Here is a 20,155-nt window from a genome sequence, read left to right as displayed (position 1 = left end):
GCCCTCACCTTCTGGAAAGTCATTTGCCTGCAGCAGCCTGTGTGCTCTTAAAAAATAAGACTGAATCCCTGCCTGGGGGTGGGGGGTGAGGGGACCCTCCTCCTCCCTCCTCCTCCCTCCTTCCTTTAGCATCCCCTCTCCCTCAGCAAGAGGCAGTGGCTGCTTCTGTGCACCTGCTACTTCTGTACCCCTTAGACGCCTCCATTACCTTTTAGTAACTAACCGTCTTCTAAGACTTAACAATTATTTACATTAAATTTTCCCTGGGTATAGTATGAGTAGGGTAATATAGTGTATCAGATACAGAATTGGCCAGGGTTGTACCACCACGAAGTGATAAACCTGGGTTTCAAACCCAGGAAGTCTCCAGAGTGTATGCCATAAACTCCCATGCTACACTGTCACAAATGTTTGGGATAAAACTCGGGTTAACACTGCCTGCAGTCTGAATACTTCTAATGCTGCAGGAGGTATTTACTTACCTAGGAGTTTCATTCAATTGCAACAATGAGAATTGCAATATCATGGTAAGGTGCTCGATTTCCCCTCAGGTATGGCATGGACTAACACCAAATGACCATAAATTTGAATTTTTCAAATCACTTTCACATGCAGGATTTCACCTGTAAACAACTTGGCGGAGTTGATAAGGCACATGTTATTCTTTCTATAGAAAAGAAACTGAAGCTTACAAATAATAGAAACTTGCATGGTGAGTGGTAAGCAAGTCTCCCTAAACCCAGCCAGAATTTCATCTGCAATATCACTGTCTTGTCTCGGGGTTTAGTTACTCCAGAATCAATTTGACTGGGAGGAGGAAAAAGGAATCTCTGAAAGATCTCTACGTCCTAATCCTTGGAACTGTGAATGTTGCCTTATTTGGGGAAAAAAAAAAAAAAGGGCGGCGGGGGGAGGGTGGGGGTGGTTTGCAGGTGTGATTAGTTAAGGACCTTGTGAAGGGAGATTATCCTGGATTACATACACCTAAATGTCATTATAAGTGTCCTTATAAGAGATGAGGAGGAGACTTGCACACACAGGAACAGGAGATGGTGATGTGAAGACAGAGAGAGCAATGCAGAGATTGGAGTGATGCGGCCATAATCCAAGGAATGCCAGCATCCTGCAGAAGCTGGAAGAGAAGAGGAAAGAACAAGAAGAGGCAAGGCACAACTTTCCTCGAGAGCCTCTGGATGGACCTCAGCCTGGAGGTTGCCTTGATTTCACCCCGGGGCTACTGATGTCACACTTCTGGCCTCTCGAATGGTGAAATAGCAAATTTTTATTGTTTGAAGCCACCAAGTTTGTAGTCACTTGTTACAGCAGCCTCAGGAAACTGATACACTGATAAATTCAAGCTTAAGAGAAAAGTTTATACAGATAGAAGAAAATTTCTTAACATGACATAAAAACATTTGTAAACTCAGCTTCATTAAAATTAAGAACATTAAGATGAAAGCATGAGCTACAGATTGTGAGAAGACATTTGTAATACAAATATCCTCCAAAATACATACCTAGAATATAAAAAGAACTTCAAATGGCAAAACTGCAACTACTTTTGCACCAACCTAATAATTTTTTTTTTTTAGATGAAGCCTCCCTCTTGTCCCCCAGGCTGGAGTGCTAATGTCGCGATCTCAGCTCACTGCAACCTCTGCCTCCTGGGTTCAAGCGATTCTCCTGCCTCAGCCTCCCAGGTAGCTGGGATTACAGGCGCCTGCCACCACACCTGGCTAATTTTTGTATTTTTAGTAGAGATGGGGCTTCACCATGCTGGCCAGGCTGGTCTCAAACTCCTGACCTCAGGTGATCTGCCCGCCTCGGCCTCCTAAAGTGCTGGGATTACAGGCTTGAGCCACCATGCCCAGCCCAACCTAATAATTTTCAAAAGACCAACAACTCAAAAATGTTTGAACGGGCAAAAGATTGAAAGTGCTCATCACAAAAGAAGATGTCCAAATGACCAATACGCATAAGAAAATGTGCTTAATGTCATTGGACAATTGGGGAATGCAAATTAAAATCCCAGTGAGCTAAGATACCATTACACCCTCTCACTATGGCTAAAATTAATAGGACTGATAATATCAAGTGTTGGTGAAGATATGAGATAACTAGGACTCTCATACACTGTAAGTGGGAGTATATACGGATAGAATTACTTAGAAAAATGGCTGGGTGCAGTGGCTCATGCCTGTAATCCCAGCACTTTGGGAGGCTAAGGCGGGTGGATCACTTGAGGCCAGGAGTTCGAGACCAGCCTGGCCAACATAGCAAAACCCCGTCTCTACTAAAAACACAAAAAATTAGCTGGGCATGGTGGCACACACTTGTAATCCCAGCTACTAGGGAGGCTGAGGCAGGAGAGTTGCTTGAACCCAGGAGGCGAAGGCTGCAGTGAGCCAAGATCACACCACTGTACTCCAGCCTGGGTGACAGAGCAAGATTCAGTCTAAAATAAAAAAAAAGAAGAAAGGAATTACTTAGAAAAACTATTTTAATAGTAGTCTACTAGATCTAAACAATGTATATACTATAATACAGCAATCCTACTCATGGATATATGTGAGATAAAGTGTGCTTATGTGCACCAAAAGACATGAACAAAAATGTACAAGAATATCCATCGACAGTAAATTAAAAATTGTGCTACATTCTTATAATGAAATAATGTACAGCAATGAAAAGTGATGAACTACTGCTATAGCCAATGTCATGAATGAATCTCACAGGCATAACATTAAGCAAAAGAAGTCAGACAAAAAATAGCACACACTCTATGACACCACTTATATGAGGTTTAAGAGCAGGCAAACCCAAGCTATTGTGATAGAGGTTAGAAGTGTGGTTTCCTTGGGGGGCTATCTACTTTGAGGGGCCTCAGGGAAGCCTACTGGTGTGCTGGAAAAGTTCTAAATCTTCATCAGGGTGGGGGATACATGGATGTATATATAAGTAAAACAAATTAATTGAGATATCCACTGAAGGTTTGTGTTCCTTATCATATATAAGGTAGATCTTAAAAAGAACAAAAAAAAAGTATTTTAAAGAACCAAGTAAAAAAAAATAAGGTTCATGCATCATATTTAAGAGTCAGGAAACAGCAGACCATTCTAATTTCACTAAAAAATGGTCTTCAGAATGGATTTTTCTCATTTGCAAAATTGGAATATTAATATATACCAATCTCATAGAACTATTAAGAGTTAGATAATGCATACCTATGCTTGAGCTGTAAAAGAAGCCCCATATAAAATATAAGGTAATATTATTTGTGGAACATTCCAACTCTCATTTTCACTTATGAAATATCTTATAAATACTGCCTCCTTTCTCTTAAATTACAATCACCAAAACCAATGAAGTAAACGGGTGTAGAAACTGCATTAGGCCAGCAACACTTGGGAAACGGCAGCTAAAAGGAGGGCATCTATTCCTTCCATGACCGTCTGATGGGTGATTGTCCTAATGTTGAAAAGTGGATATTTATACATATTAAATCTTCCTGAAGGATTCCCAGAATCTATTTAATGACAGGATATTCAATTCCAGAAAATCCAATCAAAGATTATAAAAAGCCTGAAGCCCAATAATTCCATTCTGCTCATCTTCTTTCTGAGGTGTATTAATAAAACAGTTAAACAGTAATCAAGTTGTAGACATACTACATCTACGTACATAGCATGGTTCAAATCATACATTCCTTCTAAATCTGAGCTGCCCAGTATGGTCACCTGTAACTACATGTGACTATGGACAATTTGAAATTTGGCTAGTTTGAATTGATTTGTAATCTAAGGGTAAGATGCATACCAATTTCAAAACTTTGTATAACAAAAAGCATATAAACTATCTCAATAATAATATTCTCATATTATGTGTCAAAATGATAATATTTTAATGTATTCAGTTAAATAAGATAAATTATTAAAATGAATTTCATCTGTTTATTTTTACTTTTTTCAGTGTGGCTAATAGGACATTTTAAATTACATACATAGCTTGCATTGTATTTCTATTCGACAGCAGAGCTCTAAATAAAGATGAAACTTTTCATAATGCTATTCCTCTCAGGACAGTTTTCAGGAAGAGCATTTCAAGTATTAGCGGTAAGGTTACTTCAGGTTTTCTGGCCAAATTATCTGGCTTTGTCAAAGATTGAAACCAACATGTAATCTTTATAATCAAGTGGGTTTAAGCATGGCCATATAATAAAATGTTTGCCCTGCGTGATGTCATTGAATATTTGACCAATTATCTCTGATCTCCAGTAACACATAAACCTGTGGTTCTGGAACTTTAGGGGGCCTTTAAGAATGAGGCAAAGAGTGCTAGCTTCGGCAGCACATATACTAAAATTGGAAAGAATGGGGTAAAGAAATGACTTCAGTAGATCCCCTAGAAAACTTTCCAGGACCCCTCAATACAGACATTATATTTGAGTGAAAACAAGATGGCTACAGACTGATTTGTGTCCCCCACAAACTCATATGTTGAATCCCTGACTCCTAACGTGACTGTATCTGGAGATTGAACCTTTAATAGAAGGTAATTAAGGTTAAAAGAGATCATAAAGGCGGAGCCCTAATTTGATAAGATTGGTGGCCTTACAAGAAGAGGGAGAGAAAGACAGCTCTCTTCCTATGCCATGTAAGTGTAGTGGTGTGCAAGCTAAGAAAAGGGCCCTCGCCAGAAACTGACCCTGCCAGACCTAGATCTGAAACTTGCAGCCTTTAGAATGGTAAGAAAATAAGCTGCTGTTAAGTCACCCAGTATGTGGTATTTGTTAAGATAGCCCGAACAGGCTAATACAGTAGTCCCCCTTTATCCATGATTTCAGTTACCTGCAGTCACCTATGGCCTGCAAATATTGAATGGAAACTTCCAGAAATAAACAATGCATCAATTTAAAATTGTGCCCCATTTTGAGTGGCATGATGAAATCTTTAGCCAACCTGCTCCTTCCGGCCCAGAATAGGAATCATTCTTTAGCCTAGCGTATTCACATTGTCTGCACTATCTGCTCGTTAGTCACTTGTTGGCTTGGTTATTAGAAAACATAAAACAATAAAAAACACGGTATATATGGGGTTTGATGGTAACATAGTATATACGGGGTTCGGTACTATCCTCAGGTTCAGACATCCACTGAAGGTCTTGGACATACTCCCCAAGGATAAGGATCAGCTACTATATGGATACCTGCTACTTAAAGCAATCTCACTTTATGTTTTATTTTATATTTTAATTTTTTGGTAGAGACCGGGTCTCAGGATGTTATCCAGGTTGGTCTTGAATTTCTGGCCTTAAGCAATCCTTCTGTATCCCAAAATGTTGGGATTACAGGTGTGAGCCACTACACCTGGCCCCAAGCAACCTCATTTTAATTAAACATTATTATTAATTTTAATACTAAATGTGATATATACATTTTTGTTAGATAAGAGCATAGTGATTTGCACAAAATGCAGAGTAAACAGACATTTATTTTCTCTAAAAGCTAATAAGACAAGCGTAGCCTGTGTCCTCTGCAGGCCAACTCACTCATAGACCAACTTTGGAAAGCCAGGTTAAAAAGGGTCAAGGAGAAATGACTACTATTTAAAAATATTCTTACTCAAATATTTTATTCTTAACTATATCAAAAATATTCTCTTCAGTAAATGGAATTTGCATTCCCACTTGAACTGAAAATGCTAAGTTGTTAATACCTTCTCCAGGGATTTACTTCTTGGGATGACACCTTCACTGGGTTCGTCATAGTTTAAGCATAATAAAATCTCATTATATGCTCCAAAGCATGAACGATCCGGGAAGTTCCTCAGTCAGTGTAGAACTTAGCCTTACGGCTTTGAGAATAACATTTTAAAAGGCATTACATAAAGAAAGAATGGATCCCAGCCTGGGGAACAAAATTGCATGCTTTGTTTCTTTAAAAACATCCAAAACAGCCGGACGTGGTGGTTCACGCCTGTAATCCCAGCACTTTGGGAGGCCTAGGCGGGCTGATCACTTGAGGTCAGGAGTTTGAAACCAGCCTGGCCAACATGGCGAAACCCCATCTCTACTAAAATACAAAAAATTAGCTGGGCGTGGTGGCCCATGCCTGTAATCCTAGCTACTTGGGAGGCTGAGGCAGGAAAATCGCTTGAACCCGGGAGGTGGAGGTTGCAGTAAGCTGAGATCGCACCACTGCACTCCATCCTGGGCGACAGAATGAGACTCTGTCTCAAAAAATAAAAAATAAAAAAAAATCCAAAACATCTTCAGATTTTAATGCCTGATTTTAAAGAAAGGGGTGGCAGGGAAGGAAGAAACCCAAATAGGGTAGTTGCTTTAATCACTGTTACCACTAATTTTCTGAGAGCAGCAAAGCGCGTCTAAGAACTCCAATAAATCTATACTAAATTTTATATGTCCCATACATATTTTCTGGGAAAAAGGGCCCTTGAGCTTTGAACACAATCTCAAAGGAAACAGTGACTAAAAAAGGTTAAGAACCTCTTGTTGAAGGGTTTGCTTTATTGAACGGAAGAAACAGTTCTCCCTCTCCCCTCCACGCTAGGTATAACCAGCCTTCCGGATGTGCCGCCTTTGGTATCACCCAAGATCTCGGGATGGGTACCCATCCCTGCCTCCACTGCCTGGTTTGCTGGTTACCCTGCTCTTTGGTTCTGTTTCTCCATGTGTGTTTCTGCAAGCTGCCTCAATGTCCCCCTTCCTCGGCAGTTGTCCTACTCTGTGTCCCTGAAATAAGAGCGGTTCCTCAGCGGCTGCCTCATTTGGGTGAGACCCACGTGACACTCATCACATTTGTCAACCTCCCCTTTTTCCTCTCTACTCTTTTGGGGCCACTGGCCTTTGTCCCGTGCCGGAGAGGTAGCCCCCCCATCCCCCGACTCTTTACCCTCTTCCTGGTTGGGTTTGGCAGATACTTTCACGCATGTCCCGTCATGTTCCTGTCCTACCATTCCCAGGTAGTGTGAAATTCTTTTCCTGGCCCACTCGAAAGATGTGAGAAAGAAATGGTGCCTGAAGTGCGCTCTCTGATCCCCCGAAAAGAATATTACACATAACTACTAAGCGCTTTGTGTTTGGGTCCATGATTCCGACATATGACGTGGAGAAGCATAGTGCCCTGCACCTGCCTTGACCATGGCCTCCTGAGAGTCCCCAGGGCCACCAAGCCCCCCATTCCAAGTGCTCTCCTTGAATGTGACTCGGCTCTTTCCACAATCCGCCCAGCCTGGGTTAGGGAATGGGAGCTCTCTACTATATTCTTCTCCACAATATTCTAAAACCTCCTCTCTGTCCTTCTAGAGAGAGCGCAAATGGGTAAGTTTTTTCCCCCTAAAACTTGCTTAAAATCAGCGCGTCGGGCCCCGGGGCGCCCGGGATGTGAGGGCGGGGAGGTGGTTGTCGGGGCGGTCCGCGCCCCCACGGCGAGGTGCACGGAGTTAGCTCGGCCCAGCAAGCGGCGGAGGGAGGCCAGCGAGCGGGGTCTGCGAGCGGAGGCCCGGGCGGCGGCGTCGTCCCCGGGGGCAGGCAGGCCGGCCGGGCCCGGGCCAGGGCGCTGCGCCGCGGCCTCCGCGCCTCCTCGGGGCGCCGCGCGGCCAGGCCGGCGGCGGCCCCCGGGGATGGCGGCGGCCGGGCTCCGCCAGCAGGTGGCCCTGGGGTCCCAGCGGCACCGCCCCCTCCGCCGGCGCCCCTCCTCCCGCGGGGGCGGTCAGCGCCCCGGCCGGCTCTGCACCCGCCGCCGCCCTCCCCGCAGCCCGCCCGCCGCGTCTTCGGGGCCGCCGCCGCCGCCGCCGCGACCGCAGGCTGAGCCCAGGCGGGCCGGCCGCCCCGAGCCGCCCCCCGCCTCCGCCGCCGCCGCCGCGCCCCGGCCCGGCCCGCTCCCAACGGAAAGTTGGGCTGCGGCGGGCGGCGTCTGGAACCCGCGGGCCGGCATGAGCGGGGGCCGCGGGGGCGCCTAGGGCACCGGGAGGCGGCGCCGCGCGGGGGCAACTTCGCCCGGGAGCCCACGCCGCCGGGCCCCGCGCCTGCAGCCCCGAGCCGGCTCGCGGTGGTTCCTCCCGTCCCGCGGCCTCCCCTCGCCGACTCCAGGCGCGGACCTTGGTCCCGGCGGCTCCGCCGCGGTGACACGAGCCCGCGCCGCCGCTGCCGCTGCCGCCGCTGCCGCTGCCGCCGCTGCCGCCGCCTCCTCAGCCCCCGCCGCCGCCTTCCCCGCACCATGGAGTTCTCCGAGAGGAAAAGAAGCAGGAAATCCCAGAGCTTCAAACTGGTGAGCCGAGGTAAGCGGCCGCCGGGGCGGCGGGGGCAGGCAGCGGGCGCCGCGCCCTCGGCCGCCCGCGGGGGTCCACGCTGGGGGGCGCGCCCTCCCGGAGCCCCCGGTCCTTCCCGGTCCCCCGGTGCCTCCGCCGGGCTGGCAGGCAGGGCCGCGGCCGCACACGCCGGGCGGCGGGGAAAGTTGTGCGGGGGGAGCAGGGATGTTATTTAACGTAAACAAGTCGGAGGGCAGCTCAGGAAATTAGCAAACAATGACACCGGGGGGCCCGAGCCCTCCTCGGGGCGCCTCCGGGGCAGGGCTGGGGCGGCCGCGGACCTGCCTGGCCATCAGGCCGAGCGTGGACCCTCGGACCTGAGATTTGCTGTTTTTGTTTTCTGGGGTCTTCCCCCTTCCCCCCGCCAAGAGAAGGAGGAAAAAGGATGACCGTTGTTGTTCTTTTTAAGAAGGAGAAAGAAGCTCACGCCGTGTCCAAGCCCAAGGCGGAATTGTTGACATCCAACATCTCTAGCTAGCTGATTTGGGTTGGAAAGGTGTTTTAGACTAGATCATATAGCAGTCAGATAAGCATCCTTTAAAAAAAAGAAAAAAGAAAAGAAAGAAAAGAAATCCATCTAGTTTCTGACGAATTAACAGGTGTACACCACACTCTAGGGTTTGTATTTTGTCAGGGAGGGGAAAGTGGAATACAGTCTTGTCTGTGTTCAGTTACTTGTTAAGAGTCTTTATCTTCCTGATTTGACTTTTTTTTTTAAAAAAATGATAACTCAAGAGCCATCGTGAAAATATATCTCAAAATGCATTGTCATCTTTAATTAGGGGCAGGTGACTTTTTTCATTGTAATGTCACAAGTCCTCATATTGAGTTTAGACCCGCTCTGTTTAAATGTCGTCTTTTAATCAAGTTGAGGTCAAAGCCAAACCCCAACCTGTCCACTTTTCCTCTGTCGTTTTCTCTAGCATTGGCATCAGGGTAGAAACTCCAACAACCTGCAGAAGTCACGTGTAAACTGATGAAAATTAGTGAAAAAATCGTGGACAATTGCAAGTAATCGAATTTTTCAAACTGAGCTAAGCTAGCTAAGATGTGGATTTGGTTCATCTGAAAATGCTTTGATTATAGGCATTTTGAAGATCCATTCTTATCTGCCTCCCCTAATTTAGTTTGGATACTGTTTAATGAAAGAGGCCTGAAATAGTTTCACGCATTCAAAATACTTGGCTCTTCCCACTTTCTGAGTAAATTTTTTTTTCCACATCCGTGTTGATTACTCAGTTACTTGGACTTTTAAAAGTCTCTGTCTGGGTGATTGCCCTGTTGGTGCTATCTGATTCATTCAGGAATGTAAGCTGCTTTCTTATTGATGACCTCAGAGAACTTAACTGCTTTATCTTAAAAGTGAGAGTAGTTTTGTTGACTTTGTCCTGTGAGGTCTAAGGCCAGAGAAAGGGGACTAGGTGTTAAGGAGGAACCTCTATTTTCATGCCTTAGTGACCCTGCTTTTCAAAAATAGAAGCAAAAATGCAGTAGCCTCCATAGAGAAGCTTGTAAAATACTGTATTTGAAACTTTGACTGACGTAGCAAGTTTTTCCTTTTTCCTTTTTTCTTTTTCTTTTAATTATAGGTCTGATTCTTCTCTTTCTCTGCAGGTGCAGTTTTAGAAAATAAACTTGCATATTAAATAAAGTGCAGTAGCTGAATGCGAAAGAGTCACTTGTGTGAAAGATGAAAATCTTGCTTTCTTATCCAAATCATACTACATTTGAAATAACAAATCAGTATTTTTCATGTGTGCTTGCCTTTAAGCTGCTTAAAGGCTGAGATTTTCTGGGTAAACTGAGAAAACTAGAGTGCTGGCTAAACTTTAAAGCATACTGTTGATATGCTGGTGAAAATGGGTTGTGAAGAGAAATTTGGAAACCTCCCCTGCTCTATGATTGGGCAAACATACTTGCCACCTCAAAGAAAAAAAGCCTAAAAATTGGCATCTGTGGGTACAATTTACCGTGAACATGGTGTGATCAAGCAAAGCTGTCTTCTAAAGCCAAAGTAATCTTTCAAGTTTGCGTACTCCAGAATAAGCAAAGTTTTAGGAATTATTATTGACTACAAATTCTGTGATTATTTCAGTTCTCAAAAAGTTTATTTATAAATTATAGAGTATACAAACTAAATAGAATGAGATTCTAGACTTGACTGCTTATTCCTATCTTGAGGTCCTTAGGATTCTAATTTTTGGTTGTTTTCTCATGCCAGATTATCACCACGAGGTGTATAAGATCCCAGAATTCAGCAACGATGTTAATGGGGAGGCCAAAGAGACACAGCCCATTTTTTTAGGTAGGTTCCTATGTCAATTAATACCTCAGCAAAACATCGTGACCATTTGCAATTAGGGGGAAAAAAGGAAATTGTTCAGGAACGGGAAATGTCTGCCATTGCTTAATGTATGACATTCTTTTCAAGACCTTTTATTTTACAGATTGCCAATATATCCCTTATTAACATTGCTAAAAGTTGTAATTTCAGACATAAATGTTTATTAGTGTCTACACACAGTGCTAATTATCACTCACTCACAGAGCCAGATGCTGACTGTGCAGTTTTGTGGCTCTGCGCTCACCCCATTTACATTGCATATTCGTTGGCATGCTTCACTGGCAATAGTTTGTGTAATTGGGGTATTACATCTTTGACATCTGGATAACAGAAATTCAATTTCCAGGAAGCTGCTATTTGTTTGGTTTTGCTTCTGCCTTGGGTGGGATAGAGGATTAATGTGCTGTCTTATAATGTCCCTTCACCTCTGTGGCCCAGTTGCTAATCCTGCCATGACAAAATTAAATTAAATCTACAGTCAAAAAGCATAAGGAAAATAAAAGTGTGACTGTCTGCCTAACCAGCTCTTGATAGTGCTAGTTATCATCAAGCAGCTCCTCATTTTCCTGACTTTGTGCTCCTTTCACACCAGCATTTTGGGACAGGGGGAACAGCATGCTTTCCTCTTACCATCCTTGTTCCCAGCTCACGTCAGGGATGAGCAGAGCTAAAACAGCATTTCTGAGACTTTCCAGCAAGTGTAGCTGCATGATGGGTGGGTAGGTAGCCACAAACATTGCCACCTTTTCCATGTGCAGTGTTGGTGCAAATACTGTACAGGAAAGACTTTGGATGTGCAGTTTTTTATTTGCACACAATCAGCCAAAAATGAAACCACGTAAGATTTTGCCTCTAAGAGTGAAGTACCCATAAGGTCAGGGTGGAGAGTAGATGGTGGCGTTGGGCCTCAACCTTGTCCATCTTGGACCTCTGCAATCCCAGGTAGCAGGGTGAGGGCACAGCACTGCACAGCAAGGAAGCAGAACATGAGAGAGGTCAGAGCGAGAACGATTACAAGCAAAGCCACAATTACCCCATCAAGGGGGACTTCAGGTAGCAGGACTGCTGCTCAGACCCGGTGTGGGTCAGCCTTCAAACGAAGCTCTCGCCAGGATCTCTCTGGTTTTGCTTTGAGGGATAGAAAGGGTGGGTCGGGATGCATTGGGAAGAAGTCAAATATTAATATATACTTTAAGAGGAAAAATAGGAGGGAAATGTCAGCATTTCTTACATGAGCGATCATTGATAGCACATAGATCTTTCTGCTGAGGGAAAGAATATCACTGGGGCCAGCACTGCTCCCAGTACCTGTTTACTGTTAAGAGAGCTAGGAGCCAAAAGGTTAATAATCAAGTGAAATGCTGTGGCCCAGAAAGAGAATATTCTTGGATTCTAGTCTTTCCAGTCCCCTAAACTTGGTCAGTTGGAATTCTTTTTTTTTTTTTTTTTTTTTTGAGACGGAGGTTCACTCTTTTTATCCAGGCTGGAGTGCAATGGCATGATCTCGGCTCACTGCAACCCCTGCCTCCCAGGTTCAGGCGATTCTCCTGCCTCAGCCTCCTGAGTAGCTGGGATTACAAGCACCTGCCACCACGCTTGGCTAATTTTTTGTATTTTTAGTAGAGACAGAGTTTTACCATGTTGGCCAGGCTGGTCTCAAACTCCTGACCTCAGGTGATCCACCTGCCTCAGCCTCCCAAAGTGCTGGGATTACAGGCGTGAGCCACCGTGCCTGGTTGGTCAGCTGGAATTTTGTATTATCAAAGTACCACTCTATATAGCCATTCGAAATAACGAATTTACCCTTTAGTAGAAAATTTACGTTCACCATACAAAGGGAACATCATGTCCTTGATTTAGTTCTCCAGCAAGGCAGGCTTTCCCGCACTTTCTGTTGTGTACTACTAGAAAAGTGGTAAGGTCACTACGAAGGAAGTGAATTGTAAGGATAAGAGAGGGGAAGCTGAAGAGCAACAGGATGCTAGTGCCCAGGATTCAGTAAGCTGGAAACTCCCAGAGATGATAGACGTTGTTGCTTTTCTTCTTCCTAGTCCAAGTTGAGGAAGATGCAAGAATTCCAATGAAGGACCAGGCTTGAGATAGATACGCTTTCAAAGTGGTTGCTCCAGAAGGCCTTCAACATCAAGAGACAAAAGATTGAACAGCCTGGGAGTGTGCTGTGGGTTATTTTCAATCTTTTGCTCATTCTTGGGTCATCATGTAGTTGGTTCCCAAATAACATTTTTATTTTGTGATCTCTAGGTCAGTTAAGAAAAAATAACAGAAATTGTCACAGCAACATGATTTCTGGAGCAATTGAGAATAGTTACTGATGGCATCTGAGAGTAGGAATTTTTTGTTGACAGTGTTATAGTTTATAGTTTTATAGTTACACTTTTCAAAACATAAAGATTTCAATTATGTTTATTTTATAAATTGCTAAAGCCTGTCCATAAAGATGTAGAATTATATGGGAAGCTTATGACATCCAAGGGGGTTTGGTACCAAAATACTAGAACTCTTTCCCCTATAACAAAGTACTGACACACTGTCCCAGGGATGGTCTATAGGATTTTCTACATTCAAACATATGTGTTCCCTTTAATAGTATCTGCATCTATAAGATCAAAGTTTATGTTCTAGGTGAAAAAGAGTCTTCTAGAATGTGGCAGAGGTTCCCACATCAAGTCTACCTCTCTGGAACATGTTTAGGCTGTTAACGAACGTAGTGTATCTCACATGGTAGGGTAGCTCAGTAGTGTAAATGGCTTGGCCTCGTGCTTTAGGAATTACTCACATATTTTTAATTGGATAATAGGGTCAGAAGACGTTACTTTACCCTGTGGACATTGACTTTCTCAAGCTGGCTGTGATGGGACTACAGTGAAGATTTAAGCACTGTTTGAAAGGAAACAGTTCTCTTAAATCAGTTCAGCCAGTGTCTTTATAGAAGATACTCTGAACTCAGCACTTTTCTGGAATGGGAGTGGGGTCAGAGATAGTCACAGAAATGGATAGGACAGGGACCTTGTTCTCAGGGATTCAGATCCAGCTGGGGAGGAGACAGGACAAATTCAGGAAACGGAGCAGTATTCAGCAATCGTAAGAGCTACAGTTGTTTGAGCACTTAACTGTGTGCAAGGCAGCACACTGAGCACTTTACATGAAAGACCTGATTTGCTCTTTGCAGCATGTCTGTATGAGTTACCGTCATCCCCATTTTGTAGATGAGCCTAGAGATGTCGAGGTGACCTGCCCAAGGTCTCTCAAGTAGGAAGTGCCACAGGTAGGGTTCCAGTGCAGGTCTGTCTGAGCTTTGAACACTCCACTTAACCGCCTGTCTGTGAACGGTAATTAAATGACAAATGTGAATGATCAGGGCAACAGCAAATGCAGAGTTGGAAGGGGTAGAGGGGAGGGCTCTGCAAAGCAGAGATGTTGAACTACAGGAAAGATTCGCTCCTGTATTTCTCCTCCCTGGAGAAGATTCCAGGTGGGAAGGGTGAGGGAGCCGCCAATAAGCATCATTATAGCTCGACCATGAGTGTTGCACTTATGGTTTAGAAAGTGCTTTCACATCTGTCTTCTCGGGATTTTTACCATATACCTGTGGGGTAGTCAGGGCAGATATAATGATTCCTATAATGATGGGAACCGAAGCTCAGTTACCTGACCTCACGAATAGCAGAGGCCGGAGTAAACCCAGGCCTCCTCTCAAAAGATCTTTCCCCTCTGCCCTGTGGAGCCAGGCAAAGCCAAGGCTCATGGAGGAGGCCTTAGCTGCTAGCAGGGCACTTTTAGAAGGATTTTAATGAGACAATTAATTTATTATTCATAGCAGTAATGCAAATATAAAATGAAGTCTCTTTTCACACATTGGATTTTGGGTTAGATTTATCATAGTATGTACATTGGAAACATGTTTATCTGTCAGGTGTTCAGTCTCATTCATTTATTCATTCAACAAATTCATTGCGCTCCATTTACATCCATGCCAAGCCCTGTTCTAGTTATTCTTTTTAATATTCAGTTCAGTTATTCAGCTTCCCATAGATGAAGCACACAGTGTGGCAGCCATGCCAGCTGAGCAGGGTCGACATCTCTGAAACTCTGAAGTCTCTTTTCAGTGGCTTTCTTGATGACAGCTGCACCCACTAGAGTCCCCAGAATCTCCCCAAAGAGGACACACTCGAACAATTCCTCTGCACTTTTACAAGTTAGAGAGTTATCTCCCAGCCACGACATCGTTCTCCTCCCTGGAGGACTCGGCAGGTCCGTCTGTAAAATGGAGGAGGTCTTCACCTGGAGTCAGGTGGCCTGGGTCCCACCCTGGTTCTTGGTTGGTTTCAAAAGGCTTGGGAGCTGAGCCCCACTTCCAAGAGGAAGAAGGGTCTAGTGTGTCACCATACCTGGGGCAGGAGTTGCAACCTCAGAGGAAATGAAGGGCCAAGGGGGAAAAGTGGAACCCCAAAATCCCAGTATGTGGAAGCAAGTGCTTCCCCTCTGTTCCTCCCCACAAAAGCTCCACCTTCAGCACCCTGGCCCCACTGTGTCCTTGTGTCCCTGTGCTCCTTCTTGTAAGTCCTCTCCTTTTTTGGTGGTGGAATGAATGGGACAGATGACCAGGAGTGTCTCTTGGGGTTAGGTACGTGGCCAGTAATAGTGTTATTTACCCAGAGCTTGCTGTGTGCCAGCACTATGTAAAGGACTTTGTAAATGTTATCCCATTAATTGTCCCAAGAAACGTGTTGTTTTTCCCTCTTTATGGATGAAGAATTTGAGGAGTTCACAGAGTTACTCAGTGCCAGAGCCAGGATGCAAGCCAGGGTCTGCCTGTCTCCAAAGCAAGCCCTTAACCGCATGGCAGGCTTTGTTCAAACGTGCTCCCAAGCGGAACCCCCAGTATGTCCAGCAGATCAAAGGGGAGCAGAGCTGCTTGAAAAAAGGTCGAGGAGACCCAGAGAGCCTTACGTGCATTTCACATTCCTCTGTGGGCCTCTGCAGAATGTTAGGGCGCCCCCAGTCACTGTTTTAAAACTCCTGGTCTAGACAGTTCCCAAGGCTTCATACAGCACCTGATTTGTCCGATTATACTCTAGGACCGAAAAATGGCTTCAAAAATAATTGCAAGCAAAGTCAAAGTTTGGAGAGCCTCTTGAGGGAACTTAAATACCGATGGCTTCTTTCAATTTATGTGCACATAAACATATGTTTCGGTAGCTGTGGATGCAGAACTTGGTCGTTCTCACGTATGACTTGTTGCCTAAAGTCTGGGAGGCATTTGTAGTTAGGCCATCCGGGCACTCCATCTCTCATTTAGTTTCTATTGCAGCTACACTGTGAGGTTGCTGTTGGGTCGGCCTCATGTTTTACAAATGGGAACCTCAACTCAGGGATGAAAGTGATTTGCCCAAGGCTACATGGTCATTAGTAGCTGACCACACTTTCCAGTGGGGTCTCCTGACATCCACTTCTGAGTTCTTCACCTTGTCAGAGCTGCCACAGCTCCTTGCTCCAATCTGCCCACGTGGGCTGATCTCAGTACGTAACTTCTCACCCTCTCTCCTGCTTAGAGACTTCAGCTCCCTTGTCATGGGCCTAGAATCAAGGCAAAGCCCTTCACTGAGTGTCTAGTATGCACGGTCTGACCCGACCCATCTCCCTGTCCACAGCTTTCATGTAACCGCCTTCCCTTGAGCCAACCGGCTTCCTAAACCAGGACTTCCAGGTGCAGAGGAGGCACCACAGGGAGAAGGAATGGGGTGGGCAGGAGCTATGGCCTGGGAAAGCCCCTCCTGCTGGGAAGAAAGGAGCTAGGGCTTGTTTACTGCCTCCGGTGTGTGCTGGGCACTTCCGAACTTTATCTCATTTAACACTGAGACCAGCTCTGAGAAGGTATTGTCATTTCTACTTTTATATGAGAAAAATGGGCCTTTAGAATTGTTAATGTACGTAAGGTCATAGAACTAGGAGACAAGAGCCTGGATCTGGAATTTGGACATGGCCTGGCCACGATCTTTCCACTGTACCATGCTGCCTTGGAGGAGTGAGGCCCCGCTCTCCTCTCTCTTTCAGTTCGCTGTCTGTTTCTAAACCGCCCTTCCAGCCTTCTCTTGCTCTTCACCCTCACTGAAAACATGTGCTGTGTCAAACTGATCACATCATTCCCTCCTAAAGCACCTTCCCATTCTCATCTCTGCCATTTCACTGCGGCTCCTTCTCCATCCTAGCCTCCTACCATTCCTTACCCCATTTCCAAACTCCTTCTAGTAAAATCCTGTCTCTCCTATCGGTTTTTAAAGCTCAATTCAAATATTACCTTGGCCTGTAAGCCGCCTCAGTTTACATAGCGTAGCAGAGAGAAGTTGGATTTAGAGTCAGAAAACCTTGCTTTGAATCTCAGGCTCCAGTTCTAACACCTTGGATAACACTCTTGAGGGGTTTTCCTCATCTTCTGTAATAGAAGAATAACGTTGGCCCTCCTGACGCACATGCGAAATCCTGTATGGTAAAACGCTTTTTCAAACTGGAAAACACTGTATTTCTGTTTTTATTACCCCATTCTCTCTCCTTCTCCCAGATTTAGGAGTTATCTTTTCTTTTTTTTTTTCTTTCTTTTTTTTGAGACGGAGTCTCGCTCTGTTGCCCAGGCTGGAGTGCAGTGGCGCCATCTCGGCTCACTGCAAGCTCCACCTCCCGGGTTCACGCCATTCTCCTGCCTCAGCCTCCCGAGTAGCTGGGACTACAGGTGCCCGCCACCACACCCGGCTAATTTTTTTGTATTTTTTTTAGTAGAGACGGGGTTTCACCATGTTAGCCAGGATGGTCTCGATCTCCTGACCTCGTGATCCACCTGCCTCAGCCTCCCAAAGTGCTGGGATTACAGGCGTGAGCCACCGTGCCCAGCCTAGGAGTTATCTATTCTTCCGATCACTTGGGCACTAAGTAATAACATTACTCTTTTCTGGCACTTACCATGTGATGCCTAATATTTACTTATTTTTGTGTGTGGCTTTATTGTGCTCAAGTCACCCTGCAGATCCTCCTCCGAAACTTAACAGCTGCCACATTGAAATGTGGTTGTTTATTTTCAGGACTCTCCTAATCGCTCCTAATGTAAATTGTCAGATCCTAGAGGGCAAATGTGACCTGAGTTCATTTTGGATCCTTTGAGAACCTAGCACAATGCTGTATCCGTAATAGGTACTCTGCTGATAGGTCCTCAGATATGTGATTTAAATGCATGAATATATTGGACACTGTCGTTAGGACTCTGAAGATTTATTGTAAAGTATACTGCTATATTGAGATTTTAGAGACATTTAGTGAGCCAAACTAAAAGATGCCTCATTTAACTTTAAGCTTCTGTAACATACTAGAGTAGAAATTTGGGATTTCTGATGTTGATTTGTGAGATACAACTTCTTTTTTCAAATCCAGAAGACACCGAAAAGGAGAACTCACATATGAAAGCCAGTGACATGTTGGAAACCAAAATTGGAAAATCACATTTGTTCTGCTTGTTCCTTATTCTGCTCTAACACAGGTACAGCTTTAGAAAGGTGCTTAAGATAGCGCTGGCCCATCTGTAAACTGATGTTGACATTGTTGACTTCTCAGATTTCACATGAAGCAAGCTTTTCTACCTTAATTTAAGGACATAAAGCCATGTATTAAAGATCACACCAACAAACCTTAGTGCCTGTCGGGTTTCTGAGGGAGTTGGGCCCCTGCACACAGCCACCGAAGTTGTACCTGCCCAAGGGGGCCCTGTGAGGGGCCAGTGGGGCTGACATGCAGCCTGCAGCCTGCTCGCCACGGCCCGCATGGGGGCAGCAGCTGTCCTGGGGAAAAGCCACCTCTTTCTGTTTCTCAGGAAGGCTCATTGTGGTTCAGCAACTGCCCTATAAATGAAAAGTGTGATATATTGTGGTCTTTTACTTTTCTTACACTGGTCATGACCAAATCATTGAAAAAAAATAATAAATTCATGAAGGATAGAATCTAAGGAAACGTGTTGACAATTCAGCCTCCCTGTGATTTTGTTTTCTGAGGAAAATCATATGGCCATCTATACAGTGAAATAAGGATTTTGAACCAGTGTGTTTTGCATCTCATAGTTAAAAATAGACCTGGGATGTTGGCGCGGGAAGTCTGTTATCCTTATAACTAGCAGATTATCGGAGAGAAAGTGACCTGGACAGCAGTGCCTCAGCAGTAGCAGGGGAGCGGGGCTGGCGAAGGGCAGAAACCTGAACCTGCAGCCATTGCGATCCACACGGTGCCTTTCGGCTCCTGAGAGTATCGTGTGCAACTTGGGCTGCCCCTCTGCCTGAAATTCTTTTCCATTTTTCAGAGACAGGCTCTCGCTCTGTTGCCCTGGCTGGAGTGCAGTGGTGTGATCATAGCTTACTAAAGCTTCCAACTCCTGGGCTCAAGGTACTCAGCCTCCCAAGTAGCTGGGACTTCAGGCATGCACCACCATGCCCAGCTAATTTTTTTATTTTTTGTAGAGACAGCGTCTCCCTCTGTTGCCCCAGCTGGTCTTGAACTGCTGGCCTCAAGCAATCCTCCAGCCTTGGCCTCCCACAGTGCTGGGATTATAGGTGTGATGCTTGAAATTCTTTATCATCTAAGTGTACCCAAACTCCCTAGCATGACAGCTGAGACCCTGCATGAACTGCCTCCGTCTACTTCTTCGAGCTGATTCCTGACACTCCCCTCTTGCCTCCATGTGCAGCAGCCATACCAGACCACTTTTCATTCCTGCAGCAGCTCTCCTTCCTTATGTTTTAGGCTGTGCACTTCCTCACCTCATTGACATGCTTACCACTCTTCTGCAAAAAAAAAAATTCTACAAAAAAATACAAAAATTAGCCAGGTGTCATGCTGCATAGTCCCAACTACTCAGGAGGCTGAGGTGGGAGGATCAGTTGAGCCCAGTGGGTGGGAGTTGCAGCGAGCTGAGATAGCACCATTGCACTCCAGCCTGGGCGACAAGTGAGATCCTGTCTCAAAAAAAAAAAAAAAAAAGCCACCAGAAAACCCTAATAGGGCAACAAATGCTTGCTTAATTTATTTGTTCTGCTTGCTTCTTAAAGAATATAACCAGATATTCCAATCAACACTTATTTTTTGTATGGTCACAAAAATCTTCAATGGACACTGAGAAATACAGTCTTTTACTTAAACACTTACATATAATGGTCTTTGGCACTGGAAATCCAAAAGCCTCCTTTGGTATCAACTCTTCAAAGCCTGTATGTATCCTGCTATCATCTAGCCTGATCTCTTTGCATTTTTGTTTGCAGAACAGTGTCTGGCACATTCTAGGAAATATCATAAGTATTTGTTAAATAATTTTTTTTTCCTTTGAGTTAGAGTCTCGCTGTGTCACCCAAGCTGGAGTGCAGCGGCGCGATTTTGGTTCACTGCATCCTTCACCGCCAGGTTCAAGCGATTCTCCTGCCTCAGCCTCCCGAGT

The 20,155-nt window shown here is 45.0% G+C and overlaps 1 protein-coding gene and 1 long non-coding RNA gene across 44 annotated transcripts in view; one reads left to right on the top strand and one right to left on the bottom strand.

Moving 5' to 3' along the window:
- Positions 1 to 6,505: 6,505 nt before the first annotated feature.
- BEND7-DT (BEND7 divergent transcript) lies at positions 6,506 to 8,166 on the bottom strand. The gene is made up of 2 exons (XR_930674.3): positions 8,118 to 8,166; positions 6,506 to 6,750 (listed from the first exon to the last, which is right to left on the bottom strand). It is a non-coding gene; the product is annotated as a BEND7 divergent transcript (long non-coding RNA).
- Positions 7,136 to 20,155, top strand: part of BEND7 (BEN domain containing 7) — a 91,154-nt gene continuing 78,134 nt past the window's right edge. For 34 of the 43 annotated variants that reach the window (XR_930476.3, XR_002956970.2, XR_002956969.2 and 31 more), the window contains exons 1-2: positions 7,756 to 8,297; positions 10,549 to 10,632. Coding sequence is in view for 30 of the 43 variants with exons in the window: in XM_011519392.3 (XP_011517694.1) it covers positions 8,237 to 8,297; positions 10,549 to 10,632 (145 nt within the window). In the remaining 13 variants the exon portion in view is untranslated. Of the gene's footprint in view, positions 7,339 to 7,755; positions 8,298 to 8,587; positions 8,946 to 8,966; positions 9,339 to 10,548; positions 10,633 to 18,111; positions 18,218 to 20,155 lie in introns of those variants that run through there. The other 9 variants (XM_011519390.3, XM_047424790.1, XM_011519393.4 and 6 more) reach the window with 7 other exon arrangements.

Source organism: Homo sapiens, chromosome 10, assembly GCF_000001405.40.
Source record: "Homo sapiens chromosome 10, GRCh38.p14 Primary Assembly".
Taxonomy (NCBI): Eukaryota; Metazoa; Chordata; class Mammalia; order Primates; family Hominidae; genus Homo; species Homo sapiens.
This window is presented reverse-complemented; position numbering and strand designations above follow the sequence as displayed.